The sequence below is a fragment of the Homo sapiens genome, unplaced genomic scaffold, assembly GCF_000001405.40.
Source record: "Homo sapiens unplaced genomic scaffold, GRCh38.p14 Primary Assembly HSCHRUN_RANDOM_CTG17".
In the NCBI taxonomy this organism is placed as follows: domain Eukaryota; kingdom Metazoa; phylum Chordata; class Mammalia; order Primates; family Hominidae; genus Homo; species Homo sapiens.
In genome coordinates, this window is record NT_187497.1 from 129281 (window position 1) to 146744 (window position 17464).

Consider the following 17464-nt stretch of genomic DNA (forward strand, 5'->3'; position numbering starts at 1 on the left):
ATGGCACAGAGCCATGAGGGCCACACCCCATGATTCAACCACCTCTTCCTCAGACCCCACCTGCCACATTGGGGATTAAAATTCAATATGAGAGTTAGAGGGGCATCTAAACTACATCACATGACCATCAGAAAAACAGATGAAGAATTCATGGTTTCTACTGTCCAGAAACTTTCCATCTAGTACAAACGGCTTAATGGCTGAATTCAGCATCCTGTGGTGGGACGGGAGAAGGGAGCTGCACAGGGGACTTTGGCTGCATTTGCTCCACTTCCCTTATGCTGTTCCTCTGAGTTCTGATGTCACCACCTGAAGGGCTATTCATGGACAGAAGAATTATTGTTATTGTTGTGGTTATTTCTGTTTCTTTTATTTTGGTAAAAATAAGTTTTGTTTTTTTTTTTTTTTTGAGACAGAGTCTCACTCTGTCGCCCAGGCTGGAGTGCAGTGGCACAATATCAACTCACCACAAGCTCCGCCTCCCAGGCTGATGCCATTCTCCTGCCTCAGCCTCCCAAGTAGCTGAGACGACAGGCACCGACAACCACACCCAGCTAATTTTTTGTATTTTTAGTAGAGACGGGGTTTCACCATGTTAGCCAGGATAGTCTTGATTTCCTGACCTCGTGATTCGCCTGCCTTGGCCTCCCAACATACTCGGATTACAGGCATGAGCCACTGCGTCTGGCATGAGTTTTTAGCTTCTCATATAATTATCCTAAAAAATCCTAAGAGTTTTACTTAAGTTTCTTTTTATCATGTGTTATAAAAATTGACAGGGAAGTGGCTAAACCAGATTAAAATTACACAAGCTCTAAGAGTCAAGTCTCTGTTAGGCAGGCTTAGGAAAGACAGAACTAGAAATACTCCACCAGCATGGACATCTGAAACATGGGGTCCACTTTCTGTTCCAGCCCTGCCCAGATCCACCCTCTTCTATGGCTTCACCCAGGTCTGGCCTCACCCTAGAATCTTTTCTCACAGAACTGATTCAAGGAGATCAGAGATTTGGGCGGGGGCTCCTGCTGCCTCAGAACTGATTAAAGGAGACCAGAGATTCGGGCGGGGGCTCCTGCTGCCTCCTGAGTTGGTGCCCACAATTTCCTAAAGTGGAAAAGCAGATAAATGGAAGAAAATCATTGCATATTTGGGGACCATAATTTCTTTTCTATTGAAGCCAGTGCTTCTAGAGGCATCCTATCTAGCAACTTGTTTTCCATTCTTGCAAATCCAGTGGCTGCTACACAAGGCACAGAAAGTAAATATAAATATAAAACATCTCTCTGAACAGTTCACCCTTTTTTCTCTATCCCTTGCATCTGTCGACATAGCTTTTATTCTGCACATTTTGTTTTTCAGGTAAATACTTTTTAAAATGGAAGAAAAAATAGAAATGCTAGGCCTGTCATTTAAATCCTGAAAATTACAGAAAACTTAGCACCCAGCTGCCAGTGTGCTATGAGGACTAACTCACATCATGTAATATTTCCTGAACAGTGCTCTGTAACAGACTTCTGAACACATAGTACGTGCTCAATAAAGATTGTATTAACTCATGTGTACATGTTTTCCAAATGCAGACTTACTCAAACATTGGTGCCTTCTCTAGGCTTTCTAAACTGTAAAGAGCCAGCAGAAAATGACATGTTTGAAAAAGGTGATTGGTGGTTTCCACTTTGGGCCAAAAGTACTTGTGTTGTGGTAAGAGTGTTGGGTGTCATGAGCTCTGTGCTGTGCCTACTTTCGCTAGCTGAGTGCTACTATATTGGATGTAGTGGAAGAAACATCAGCATTAAGAGGAGACTTTTTAAAGAAGCCAATTCACGGACCCCTTCCAAACCTTCAGAATCACATCTCTAAGAGAGAGTCGGGAATCAGCAATAATTCATAGGCACATTGAAACTTGAGGAGCAACCGGGCGTGGTGGCTCACGCCTGTAATCCCAACACTTTGGGAGGCCAAAGTGGGCAGACCACCTGAGGTCAGGGGTTCAAGACCAGCCTGGGCAACATGGACAAACCATGTCTCTACTAAAACATACAAAAATTAGCCAGGTGTGGTGGCTGGTGCCTGTAATCCTAACTACTCGTGTGGCTGAGATTGGAGAATCACTTGAACCTGGGAGGTGGAGGTTGCAGTGAGCCAAGATGGCGCCACTGCACGCCTGCCTGGACAATGAGTGAAAACTCTGTCAAAAGAAGGAAGGAAGAAAGAAGAAACTTAGAAACTTGAGAGGCAATGCTTAGCTAAGTGGCTCTCGGCCCATGCTTCCAGCCATAATCATATGGCCAGCTTAAAGAAATACCATCACCTGTGCCCTCCCCAGAGACTCTGTCTATTGGTCTTGGTGGGATCCTCTATGTGGTTGTAATTGGAAAGTCAAATTTTCCCTCTTTGATGATTACATAATAATCATATATACAAAAGATGTAAAGACCACCAAAAAAACTCTTAGATTTGATAAATAAATTTAATAATGTTTCAGAATGCAAAAATCAACTTACAGAAATTAGTAGCATTTTTATACACTAATGATGATCAAGCTGAGAACCGAATTAAAATGTCACTTCCTTTTACAATAGCTACATAAAAGGTAAAATGCTTAGAAATACAATTAGTCAAAGAGATGACAGATCCCTACAAGGAAAACTACAAAACACTGATGAAAGAAATTGTACATGACACAAATGAGAAAAACATCCCATGCTCATGGATTGGAAGAATTATGATTATTAAAATGACTCTACTGCCCAAAGCAATCTACATGTTAAATGCAATTCCTACCAAAATGCCAATGTTATTTCTTATAAAATTAGAAAAAAAAATCTAAAATTCACATGGAACCACAAAAAGAGCCTGAATAGCCAAAGCAAATCTAAGCAAAGAGAACAAAGCTGGAGATATTACATTATCTGACTTAAAATTATACTAGAAGGCTTTAGTAACCAAAATAGCATGGTACTGATATAAATCGACACATAGATCAATGGTACAGAATAGAGAACCCAGAAATAAAGCCACATACCTACAAACAACTTATATTTTACAAAGTCAGCAAAAACATACACTGGAGAAATGACATCCTAGTCAATAAATTGTGCTGGAAAAATTATATTTCCGTATGCAGAAGTAAGGAATGGGACCCCTATGTCCCACCATATGCAAAAGTCAACTAAATATGGATTAAAAGACTAAAATGTAAGACCTGAAACTATAAAAATGCTAGGAGAAATGCTAGGATAAATTCTTCTAGAGATTGACTTGGACAAAGAATTTATGACTAAGATCTCAAAAGCAGATGTAACAATAACAAAAATAGACAAAAGGAACTTAATTAAACTAAAAATCTCCTAAAAATGCTTTTTAATTAACACAGTGAACAGAAAACCTATGGAACGAGATAATGTTTACAAGTTTTGCATGTGACAAAGATCTAACATCCAGAATATACAAAGAACTCAAACAGCTCAATAAAATAAAAATAAAACAAATAACCTTAAAAAGCAAGCAAAGAACATGAACATTTTTTAAAAAAAAGACAATGAGCAAGCAAAGAACATGAACATTTAAATAAAAAAAGACAACGATGGTCAACAAGCACGTAAAAGATGCTCAACGTTGTCAATGATCAGAGAAATGCCAATTAAAAACCACAATGAGATACCAACTTACACCATTCAGAATTGCTATTACTGAAAAGCAGAAAAATGAAATATTGGCAAGGATACAGAGAAAAGAGAACACTTAGACATTGCTTGTGGGAATGTAACTTTCTACAACCTCTATGGAAAACTGTATGGAGATTTCAAAAAAGACTAAAAGTAGAACTTCCATTTGATTCTGCAGTCCCACTACTTTGTATCTACCCAAAGGAAAATAATTTATTACACAAAGAAAATACCCACACTCATATGTTTATTGCAACACTATTCACAATAACCAATATATGAAATCAATTTAAATTTATCAGTCAATAATCGAATAAAGAAAGTGTGCTATACGTTTATACCATGGAATGCTACTCAGCCATGAAGAAGAATAACATCACGTCTTTTGCACAACATGAATAAAACCAGAGGCCATTATTGTAAGTGAAAAACCTCAGAAACAGAAAATCAAATTCTTCATTTTCTCACTTGTAAGTGTGAACTCAATTATGCATACACTTGGATACAGAGACTGGAAAAATAGACACTGGAGACTCAGAAAGTTGGGAGGTTGGCAGAGGGTTTAGGAATGAGAAAATAACTAATTGGGACAATAAAGAGCATTCAGATGATGTTGTCACACCAAAAGCCCATACTTCATCATTATGCAACATGCTTCTGTGAGGGAGCTGCATTTGTACTCTTTAACGTATTAATATAGAGAAAAAAAAGGCCTGGTGCAGTGGCTCAAGCCTATAATCCCAGCACTTTGGGAGGCTAATGCGGGCAGTTAACGTGGTCAGGAGTTGAAGACCAGCCTGGCCAATATAGTGAAACCCCGTCTCTACTAAAAATACAAAAATTAGCCTGGCATGGTGGAGCATAGTAGTCCCAGTTACTCGGGAGGTTGAAGCAGGAGAATCACTTGAACCCGGGAAGTGGAGGTTGTGGTGGGCCGAGATTGTGTCACTGCACTCCAGTCTGGGGAACAGAGGGAGACTCCGTCTCAAAAAAATAAGAGAGAAGAAAAAAACTTTGGCTTTTATCAAGAGGACAAACTGAGTAGACCTCATAATTTTCGTAAATAATTAGATTAGGCAAAAAAATTTTTAATAAAAATAAATAAAAAATATTCTATTTTAAGAATGGTATAGAAAGACAATTTGACGCATTAGAGTAGTTGGTACTTAGCACATACAATATGTTAGGCAAGGTTCTAAGCCCCTTAGACATTTATGGACAGAATATGTAACAGTACAATAAATAACACAAAGGTTCATCGGCAATGACAAATTGACATATTTTCAATCATATTAGATGATAGCTAAACCATTAACAAATTTACTGTTTTGTTTCATAATAAAAAACAAGGTTAAAAAGTTTGACTAATTAGGCATATGGATAAATGGGCAGCATTTTGACCAGTAGACAGAGGATACACATTTTCAAAGACCAGACAAAATTATTTATTTATTTTTGGGGAGAGAGAACAGTTTTATTAACTGAGGATACAGTGGAGTCTTCTCCCTGGGAGGTGAGATCTTCCACTGGTTACCCCCGCCAGGGCTTCCAGTGGGCGCCATGCGATTCAGCGCTGGACTCCGCTGGGGGCCGGGCCTTGGAGAAGGCGAACTGTGCAGGGAAGCAGCAGCTCTGGGGTCCTTACCGCCCGCTCCGCCCAGCTGCACCGGGTCTCCTGGTGCTCCTCAGGCTCCTGCCGAGTCTGCGTCTCTGGAGGGCAGCGAACCATCCTGCCCAGAACCTTATCCTGACAGCCCAGTTTGATGCAGGTCAGCCATTTCTGCTTCCTCCCCTCGGGCTGGACTTGGCACTTGGGTTTCTTCCAATCCTTTCTCCGGCCACTTCTCTGTCTGCCGGAGCTTAAATTTCAGCCTCACACATGTTCCAGCTGGGAAGGGCGTGTCCAGGGCGCCATCCACACTGGTTTTCTGGAAATCCTGCTGCACTGGCTGGTGCTTGTAGATTCCTCCAGGACCACCTGCAGGCCCCGGCGCTGGGCCCCTGAGCTCGGACCCGCCCCCCGCACTCCCGCGCCCACCCACGGGGCCAGCGAGATCCACAGCCCTCTCAGTCTTCCCCTTTCACCCCCGCCCTGCGAAGTGGGTGTGCACCCCTTAGTTCTCCGAGCCCGCCGGGAGCCACCTCCTCCCCTGCCCCTGGGGGTTCCATGCCCGCAGAACGCTGGGCAGAGGCGAATGAACCGGGAAATGTCCCTTTCTCCACACTGACCTTGGAGTCTGTTGGGTCCTCTCCACTCCCTCCCACCCTGCCCACGCTGTTCCCTGGGGCCCTCAGTTTCAGCAAAATTCCCTGCCGCGCCGGGAAGCTGTCCTGTTTCCCCCTCTCACCCTTCTTCCTTTTCTGGCCCACTCTCTCTCCCCACTGGGTCTCCGACACGACCCTCTCTCCTCCTGGCTGTCCTGGAGCCCCTCTTTGCTTCCCCAGCTCTGTCCCCTCTCTGACCGCTTCTCCCTCCCACCCCCGACCGAATCTCCTGGCTCCCACGGGGGGACCCAAATCCCCAGGACCCAGGTCAACCACACATAATTATTTTGAATGGGAAGACTTGAATTCATGAAAGAAGGAATCCATCTGGTTATACTTTAAATAATTTTGAAATGATAATAGCAACTATCAATTTAAAGTTTAACCAGAGTTCAGAATACCCACCATTTTACCACAAAGAAAAAAAAAACCTGTTATAACTAACCAATTCAGTAAATTTTCAGGATACAATATTAACATATGAACATCAGGTGCATGTTTTTACAGTAACAATAAAATATCTGAAAAAGGAATAAAGATAATTCCATTTACGATATTATCAAATAGAATGGAACACTTAGGAACAAAGTGTTGGAATGGAACACTTAGAAAAAAGAATATGAAAAATCAGCATACTGAAAACTATAAAATGTTGAGGAAAGAAAATGAAGAATACAAAATGGGAAATATATCCTGTATGCATGGATTCTAAAAATATTGTTAAAATATCCATAGTACACAAAGTGATCTACAGGGTTAAATAAATTTCTATCAAAATTTTAATGCCATTTTATTAAAAATGCAGAACAACTATTTTAAAATTAGTATGGAATCACAAAAGACCTCAAATAGCCAAATACTGAGAAGAACAAAAAGGCTGGAAGCCTCCCACTTCCTGATTTCAAACTGTATTACAAAACTATAGCCATCAAAATAGTATAGTACCTACATAAAAACCAATATAACAGAATAGGGGACCCAGAAATAAACTCACAAATATACAGTCAACCTATCCCACAGAATAGAGAAAGGATAAACACATCAAGGAGTGGTGTAGGAAAAACTAGATATGCAGAGACAAAAAGTACACCTTTCTCTCATACCATCACAAAATGAATTTGAAATGAAATAAAGACTTAAACATAAGAACTGAAATCATGAATCCTCTAAAAAAATGGGGAAAAACCTCCTTGACACTGGTCATGGCAATGATGCTTTGGATTTGGCAGCAGGAGCGCAGTCAACAAATGCAAAAATGAACAAGTGGAACTATGTCAAAGTAAAAAGTTTCTGCCCAATAAAGGAAACAATCAGCAAAATATAAAGGCATTATATGAAATGGGAGAAAACATTTCTAAACCATAGGTGGGATAATATGTTGCTATCCAAAACGTATATCATACTATTCAATACAAAAGAAGAACCCACAGCAGAATTAAAAGCAATTTCTTGATTAATAATTGGGTAAAATATATAAATAGCAATTTTTCCAAAGATATACAAATGGCCAATAGATATATAAAAAATGTTCAACATCACTAATTATCAGAGTAATTAAAATCAAAATCACAATGAGGTATCACCTTATCGTGGTGTTTGGATACCTATTATCAAAAAGTCAAAGGATAAAATCATTAGGGTGCAGAGAAAAGAGAACACTTGCACACTGTTGCTGAGGATGTCAAATGGTGCAGCTATTATGAAAAACAGCATGGAGGTTCCTTATAATTTTTAAACTAGAACTACCATTAATCCCAATTCGGAGTATATAGCCAAAGGAAATAAAGTCAGTATCGTCAAGGGTATCTGCACTCCTCTGATACAGATAAATAAATAAACTGAGAGGTATATAATTTCAGCTTTAATAAAAAATGAAACTTTCATTTACAAAAAATACTGATAAATTTTGAACATATTATGCTAAGAGAAAGCTTAAGCTGAATACAGAAGGACAATTACTGCATGATCTCGTTTGTATGTAAAATCTAGAAAAGCAAATAAAAATTAAAAAGTCATGGAAAGAGAGTAGAACGGTGGTCCCCATGGGCTAGTAAGAGGGAAAGTGGGGAGATATCCATGGAAGGGGTTCACTTTCAGTTATAAGGTGAGTAACTGCTGGGGACCTAATGTACACAATGGTGACTATAGTTAACAATACTGTGTACTTGAAATTTGTTGCAAAAGTAGATCTCAGGTTCTCTCAACACACACACAGAAATGTATTAACTATGTGAGGGGACACATATGGTAACTAGCTTAATTGAGATAATTTAAAGATGTATACACATCTCAAAACCCTCTTGTACACCCTAAAAATATACACTTTTCAATTTGTCAAACATAGCTCAATGAATGGAGAAAAAAATAGGAGAAAAAATATAAGAGTGACCAGCAGGTCATATCTAGCCACTTGGAAACTCGATTTAAAACACTCTTGGCTTCTTAATTTTTGTAAACCATTTATTAAATAGGCAATCCTTTCCCCATTGCTTGTTTTAGTCAGCTTTGTCAAAGATCAGATGGTTGTAGATATGTGACATTATTTCTGAGGGCTCTGTTCTGTTCCATGGGTCTATATCTCTGTTTTGGTACCAGTGTCATTCTGTTTTGGTTACTGTAGCCTTGTAGTATAGTTTGAAGTCAGGTAGTGTGTAATGCCTCCGGCTCTGTTCTTTTAGCTTAGGATTGACTTGGCGATGTAGGCTCTTTTTTGGTTCCATATAAAACTTAAAGTATTTTTTTTTTCCAATTCAGTGAAGAAAGTCATTGGTATCTTGATGAGGATGGCATTGAATGTATAAATGACCTTGGGTAGTATGTTCATTTTCACGATATTGATTCTTCCTACCCATGAACATGGAAAGTTCTTCCATTTGTTTGTATCTTATTTTATTTCATTGAGCAGCTGTTTGTAGTTCTCCTTGAAGAGGTCCTTCACATCCCTTGTAAGTCGAATTCCTAGGTATTTTATTCTCTTTGAAGCAATTGTGAATGGGGGTTCACTCATGATTTGGCTCACTGTTTGTTATTGGTGTATAAGAATACTTGTGATTTTTGCACATTGATTTTGTATCCTGAGGCTTTGCTGAAGTTGCTTATCAGCCTAAGGAGATTTTGGGCTGAGACAATGGGGTTTTCTAGATATACGATCATGTCATCTGCAAACAGGGACAATTTGACTTCCTCTTTTCCTAATAGAATATCTTTATTTCCTTCTCCTGCCTAATTGCCCTGGCCAGAACTTCCAACACTATATTGAATAGGAGTGGTGAGAGAGGGCATCCCTGTCTTGTGCCAGTTTTCAAAGGGAATGCTTCCAGTTTTTGTCCTTTCATTATGATATTGGCTGTGTGTTTGTCATAGATAGCTCGTATTATTTTGAGATACGTCCCATCAATACCTAATTTATTGAGAGTCTTTAGCATGAAGAGTTGTTGAATTTTGTCAAAGGCCTTTTCTGCATCTATTGAAATAATCATATGGTTTTTGTCTTTGGTTCTGTTTACATGCTGGATTACATTTATTGATTTGCGTATGTCGAACCAGCCTTGCATCCCAGGGATGAAGCCCACTTGATCATGGTGGATAAGTTTTTGATGTGCTGCTAGATTTGGTTTGCCAGTATTTTATTGAGGATTTTTGCATCAATGTTTATCAAGGATATTGGTCTAAAATTCTCTTTCTTGGTGGTGTCTCTGCCAGGCTTTGGTATCAGGATGATGCTGGCCTCATAAAATGAGTTAGGGAGGATTCCCTCTTTTTCTATTGATTGGAATAGTTTCAGAAGGAATGGTACCAGTTCCTCCTTGTACCTCTGCTAAAATTTGGCTGTGAATCCTTCTGGTCCTGGACTTTTTTTGGTTGGTAAGCTATTGATTATTGCCACAATTTCAGAGATTGTTATTGGTCTATTTGGAGATTCAACTTCTTCGTGGTTTAGTCTTGGGAGGTTGTATGTGTCGAGGAATTTATCCATTTCTTCTAGATTTTCTAGTTTATTTGCATAGAGGTGTTTTTAGTATTCTCTGATGGTAGTTTGTATTTCTGTGGGATCCGTGGCGATATCCCCTTTATCATTTTTTTATTGTGTCTATTTGATTCTTCTCTCTTTTCTTCTTTATTTGTCTCGCTAGTGGTCTATCAATTTTGTTGATCTTTTCAAAAAAACAGGTCCTGGATTCATTAATTTTTTGAAGGGTTTTTTGTGTCTCTATTTCCTTCAGTTCTGTTCCGATTTTAGTTATTTCTTGCCTTCTGCTAGCTTTTGAATGTGTTTGCTCTTGCTTTTCTAGTTCTTTTAATTGTGATGTTAGGGTGTCAATTTTGGATCTTTCCTGTTTTCTCTTGTGGGCATTTAGTGCTATAAATTTCCCTCTACACACTGCTTTGAATGTGTCCCAGATATTCTGGTATGCTGTGTCTTTGCTCTCATTGGTTTCAAAGAACATCTTTATTTCTGCCTTCGTTTTGTTATGTACCCAGTAGTCATTCAGGAGCAGGTTGTTCAGTTCCCATGTAGTTGAGCGGTTTTGAGTGAGTTTCTTAATCCTGAGTTTTAGTTTGATTGCACTGTGGTCTGAGAGACAGTTTGTTATAATTTCTGTTCTTTTACATTTGCTGAGGAGTGCTTTACTTCCAACTATGTGGTCAATACAAAAATTAATTCAAGATGGTTTAAAGACTTAAACCTTTCACCTAAAACCATAAAAACCCTAGAAGAAAACCTAGGCAATATCATCCAGGACATAGGCATGGGCAAAGACTTCATGTCTAAAACACCAAAAGCAATGGCAACAAAAGCCAAAATTGACAAAAGGGATCCAATTAAACTAAAGAGCTTCTGCACAGCAAAAGAAGCTACCATCAGGGTGAACAGGCAACCTACAAAATGGGAGAAAATTTTCACAACCTACTCATCTGACAAAGGGCTAATATCCAGAATCTACAATGAACTCAAACAAATTTACAAGAAAAAAAACAACCCCATCAAAAGTGGGTGAAGGATATGAACAGACACTTCTCAAAAGAAGACATTTATGCAGCCAAAAAGCCCATGAAAAAATGCTCATCATCACTGGCCATCAGAGAAATGCAAATCAAAACCACAATGAGATACCATCTCACACCAGTTACAATGGTGATCATTAAAAAGTCAGGAAACAACAGGTGCTGGAGAGGATGTGGAGAAATAGGAACACTTTTACACTGTTGGTGGGACTGTGAATTAGTTCAAACATTGTGGAAGTCAGTGTGGCGATTCCTCAGGGATCTAGAACTAGAAATACCATTTGACCCAGCCATCCCATTACTGGGTATATACCTAAAGGATAATAAATCATGCTGCTATAAAGACACATGCACACGTATGTTTATTGTGGCACTATTCACAATAGCAATGACTTGGAACCAACCCAAATGTCCAACAACGATAGACTGGATTAAGAAAATGTGGCACATAAGCACCGGGGTACACTATGCAGCCATAAAAAAGGTTGGGTTCATTTCCTTTGTAGGGACACAGATGAAACTGGAAACCATCATTCTCAGCAAAGTATTGCAAGGACAAAAAACCAAACACTGCATTTTCTCACGCATAGGTGGGAAATAAACAATGAGAACACATGGACACAGGAAGGGGGACATCACACTCCGGGGACTGTTGTGGGGTGGGGAGAGGAGGGAGGAATAGCATTAGGAGATATACCTCATGCTAAATGGCGAGTTAATGGGTGCAGCACACCAACATGGCACATGTATATATATATGTAACAAACCTGCACATTGTTCACATGTACCCTAAAACTTAAGGTATAATAATAATAAAATTTAAAAAAAAAAGAATTCCGGAAAAAAAAACACTCTTGGCCACTGTTTCCAGCTCAACTCGAGAACAGCCAGAGCGCTTCTGGCCCCTGAACTTCGACGCTCCTCCCCCGGCCCCAATGGCTGGCGAAGGTACAATCCTTCCCGGGATTCCAGGCCGCGAAGATAGGGCAGGGCCATCGCAGTCCCCTTGCTCTTTGCCGCAGCCCCGTTAGGCTTCGCGTTTCGTGGTGTCCAGGCCGCGGAGGCTGCCTGTGGCTGCCCGTGCGTCCCCGTGGCCTGTGGCTCCTCAATTCTGCGCTTCGGCCCCGCGCAGCCCCTTCGAGGCTGCAGCCGTCTTGCGCCCGAACTCAGGGCCCCGGGCCCGTTCCCCCCGCCAGCGCCTTCGCTTTTGCCGCCCCTCCCTCTCCCCGAACCCCAGCGGGCCCCCAGAGAAGGAGGGCGGAGAAGCTGGAAAGCGACTGCGGAGCTGCCGGCGGCAGGTGCGGGAAGGGGAGAAGCTGGCCTTGCACAGAAAGGCTGCTCAGAGCGACACGGACAACGGCCAGGAGCTCCTCACGCAGCTGGAAGAACTCAGTAACGTGCTCCACTGTGGGGGGAATGGAGATAATGAAAGTGTGATGTAGAAGTACTCACAGAGAACCATGATCCTTGGTCAATCTCAGATTATTATTGTCAGACCTACTCTAATGATGTTAGTCTTCCAAGTAAAGTGAGTGACTGAACTGTCAGATCAGCAAGATCAGGATATTGAAACTCCTGCTTTGAATTCTTAAGACCAATTACAAATGGAAAATGATGCTCACCCTTCTACTGATAAAACAGCAAATGTTGAATGTAGACAAGAGGGTCATTTGCCTCAAATTCACAGGAGCCAGCATCTGCATTAGCAGCACAAGATATATCCTTAGAAGGTCCGTCATTAGCTGGAAGTTTGAGAGCTACAGCAGAAGCGGCTTTATCACAGACTGGATTTAGTTATGATGAAAATGCTGGACTGTATTTTGACCACAGCACTGGTTCCTATTAAGATTCTGAGAATCAAATCTCAGATTATTATCAGACTTACTCTAATGATGTTAGTCTTCCAAATAAAGTGAGTGACTGAACTTTCAGATCAGCAAGTTCATGATATCGAAACTCCTTATCTTATCATATTCACCCTGACGTGATAGCTGTGTTGGATGTGAACCAGGGTAGGTTAGAGCTCACCTTTTCCTTGATAAGAAAGATGAATCATTTGTTGGTCCAACATTAACTAAGAAGGAAACGAGTTGGAAAGAAGAAAAGGATTTTTAAAATATATGAGTAAAATATGGTTTACAGAATACAGACTATGAAGATGATAAGATACTAGAGAATGTAAACTATAACGACAGAGCTGGAAAACATAGGGAGCAGATTGGAAGCGAAGGAAATTTCCAAAGAGATGATGCTCCTGCATCTGTTCATTCTGAAATTACTGATAGCGACAAAAGTCAGAAGATGTTGAAAAAGATGTGTTGAAAACAGGAGAAGGCCTGGGGAATGATGGTGGGAGAATAAAAACTCTGATACAGCTTCAGCTTCGGCAGACACATGCAGGATTGGAGACAGGCAAACCATCCTCAATTAAAGAGGCTCACCTTCTCCAAAACAACAAGAACAGAAACTAGGACAAAGCACAGGAGAGGTTTGCTGAAAACTTTCCAGAAACTAAACTTCCAAAAGATGACCTAGGAACCATTCCTTGGGTAAAAGAGACTGAGGAGTGAAGGTTAATCACAGAAGAAAACTCAAGCTTTTTTAAAAATAGAGTTTGGAAACTCTTATTTTATTGCAGAACGTTTCTCCTCAAAAAATTCAGTGGCACAAGAAAACTATGTCACAATTTACCCCTTCCTGATTCAGAAATGTGTAATAAAGTGTGGTTGGCAGCTTTTAAAAAAACACTTTTTAAACTAATTATTAGTGCCTGAATTAAGTTATACAGTAAGTGAACTAAAGTTCACAGGGCACAGATAAGTTTATCAAACTTTACTATTTTATCTTGTCATTTACAACATCCATATAAGCAATTAGCCATATAAGCAAAATTCATATAACCACTTAAATGTACATTTGTCCTTGTCTCCATATATTCATACTAAGATGCACAGAAAATACAGCAAAAGAAACATTGAAAGTCAATAAAAATAAATCTGACAATATACATTTTTTATGCCCTTCAGGACCTAGATACAAAAAATGTTGAGAAAACATGGATAGTGGTGCATACATTTTCTAATATGTGAATAGCCTAAATCACATGAAAGAACTAATGAACGGTGACATGTCATAGAAAATTCATCTTTTATTGTTTTCTTTGATGAAGAATCTGAATTTGTTGATATGTACTATACATTCAGCATTTGTATTTGGTTTGTTTCATAGCTAATGATATGTTTATACATGAACAAAGAGTACAGTGTTGAAATAGTCTGTGTGCTGACATTCATAGTTTTTAAAAATACCATTGCAGGCAATGAAGTTGTGCCAGAAAAATCTGATTTCTTGTACAAAAGGAATACTTAGCCAGGGCCTCAAGCTCAATATATTTATTAAAAATGTCCTACATTGCCATAAAAACATGATAACGTTAAATAATTTATTTCTATAAATTAAGAATTAAAAATAAAAATGATATCTTTTATGGATTAAGGAAGTGCTGATGAGACAGAATGGCGATTGAAGACAAAAATTCCAAATTCAGGTAAATAATTTTACTCATATTTGTTTTATTTTAGAGAAAACAATACTTTTGACCATATACTATTTATTGCAGTGGAGTATTTCAAAAATATATACACAATATATAATTAATTTTCTAATGGCATAAAAGTAATCACATTCTACAGATTATTACAATATGGTCTATTGATGAGAGGGGTGTTTCAAATGAAAAAACTTGGAATTTCTCATGAGATAGTGATAGATGCCATAGAAAATCTCTGTAAAGTATTTCACTCATATATGCAACTATGGATATTTCTGCTTTTCAGAAAAATAATTTACTTTAAATACTTAATGCAGACAATTAAAATCACCAAGAAGTTACAAGAATTCACAGAATGCCTAATATAGTTGAAATGAAATTAATAAAATTTCCCAGGACTGGAAGTAAATAAAGGTAATGAGCTGGAGAAGAAATCAACCTAACAGGCCAGGGCTCCACTCAGATGCGTCTGATCACAAGAATGTCAGGTCCATGTGGGTTGTTCCCTTCTGACAAGGCAAATGGAATAAACAAAGAGGAACTGCCTGCAGGCATTGGAATGTGGTGTCTCCCATATGTGATGATTAAATTATAGATTATGTTGCACACAAAGAGATGAGCTACTGGGGTGAAGCATCAGAAGAAATATGGCACATAAATCTCAGATATTGAATTTACATTTAAATGTTTAAGTCAATATAATGGAAAAACAAGAAACCAAAATAATGTAGAAAGAAACTACGAGCTTGTCAAGTTATCTTTGGAAAAGAGGCAAATGAAAAGTAAAGTATTGAAAGTGTTGTAAAACAATTTAATGTACAACATATAAGTTACATATTAAAATAGGCTGAGCCGAAAAGAGGACTAGTAAAGTGAAATGCTGATCACAATTAATGTAGTCATATATGTTATACAAGGCAAATTAATAGAAAATATAAATATATTTATATATGAAGGTTAGATTGAGAGGAAATAAAAGACATTCAATTGTTTTACTAGACTCTTTAAACAGGAAGGCAATAGTCAAAGAATCAGTGACTCGTAAGTTTCAGAAATTGGAAACCAGACATGAATCCTTTAAAAGTTTAGGGTGTAATATATGAAAAAAAGGTAAATTAAGAAATACTAAGAAGAAATAATGGTTTTGGTTATTATGAATACTGCTTAAAAAACATGAAAGTGCAGTTATCTTTTTGACTTGCTTGTTTTATTTCCTTTTGATATAAACCCAGTAATGAGATTGCTGCATCATATGGTAGTTTTATTTGTAATTAATTGAAAAACCTCCATGCTGTTCTCCCTATAGAAATGGGAAATGATTATAGTAATTTACATTCCTACCAACAGTGTATAAGGGCCCATCTACAGAATGAATAAAGAAAATGCTATACACACACGCACACTCACACGCACACACACACAGGAATAATGTTCAGTCATAAAACAGAATGAAGTTCCGTAATTTGTGTCAACATGGATGACTGTAGAGGACATTATGTTAAGTGGAATAAGCCAGTCACAGAAAGACAAAGACCACGTGCTCTCACTCATGTGACATCTGAAGAAGTCCATCTCATACAAGTAGGGAGTAGGATTGTGGTTAACATAGGTTATCGATGGCAGAAGGATGAGAGAGTGGGGAGAGCTTTGTCACTGGGTACAAAATTACAGTTAGGAAGAATAAATCCTGGTGTTCTATTACACAGTACGATGACTATAGCTAATAATAATGTACCGTTTATTCTATAATAGCTTGAACAGAGGATTTTGAACTTTATTAGACAAGGAAATAAATATTTAAATTTTTAAATATGCTAATCACTCTGGTTGGATCACTGTACAGTGTAAAAGGTACAATGTGATGCAGTGAAACGTGATATAATTAACACTTGATAATTATACATGTTTACGGAGTATAGTGTGGTGTTTCACTGCATCACGCTGTACCGTGTAATATGATGCAGTGAAACATAATGTAATTAACACATGAAAATTATACACGTTTATGGAGTACAATGTGATGTTTCACTGCATCTCACTGTACCGTGTAGTATGATGCATTGAAACATCACACTGTACCCCATAAATATTAATGGTTCAGCGAGGAACTCTGGGACACAGAGCAGCTCCGGGTTAGCCATGACCAGGAGCTTCACTTGTGTGAGGTAGCGAGAGGGGAATGCCCCTGTACTCAGCTGAGAGTTGGCCCCGACCCCATCCACTTTGACTGCTGGGTGCCAGCAGAAGTCAGGGACCACTAACTTCAGGCAGAGGCAGGAAGCAAGGTCATTGCATCTTTTTTCTTTTTTTCTTTTGAGAGAGTCTCACTCTATCACCCAGGCTGGAGTGCAGTGGCGCGATCTCGGCTCACTGCAACGTACTTAGAGGTGTACTTCAGAATCACACCTGCAGGAATCACACATAGAGGTTTACGTCAGAATCACATCTGCAGGAAGGTCCCTCGGTGAGATTAACAAGCCCACATAAGTGCCAGTTCTGGGTATGAGAGTCAAGGCCTCCTGTATGTTGCATCTATGTACATAAATCACAATCTCAACGGTGGAATGGATTTTTCCATGACAGCCTTAATGTCTTTTGAAAACTGAGTTATCTTACTGTAGTCACAGCCTCACAAGTGTTTTGGATCTTGGTCAGGGAGTCACATACTCACTTGTGGACAACATCCACTTATGAGAGCCAATTTTCCAACTTTTGACTGCCTCTGGGTGTGAGATTCAAAACCTGAATCATGGGCTGTGTTCATGTGGGAGAATGACAATTTTGACTGATGGCTGGGCTCAGGCAGGAGACTTTCATCCTGCAGGTGTTGAGATAAATGATATGTCACAATACACAAAATATGCTGGGTGCAGGCAAAAGAGGAGATTCATATTAGCTGGTTACTAGGTCCAGTTATATGTCACGTTTTTGGCAGGGCTAAGGCAGAAGAGGAGAGTCAGAGCTGAAGAAATGT

At 39.2% G+C, this 17464-nt stretch overlaps 1 pseudogene; it reads left to right on the plus strand.

Annotated features, from left to right (window-relative positions):
- Positions 1 to 5228: 5228 nt before the first annotated feature.
- On the plus strand, positions 5229 to 13510 carry LOC102724962 (angiogenic factor with G patch and FHA domains 1-like; annotated as a pseudogene).
- The last annotated feature ends 3954 nt before the right edge of the window (positions 13511 to 17464 follow it).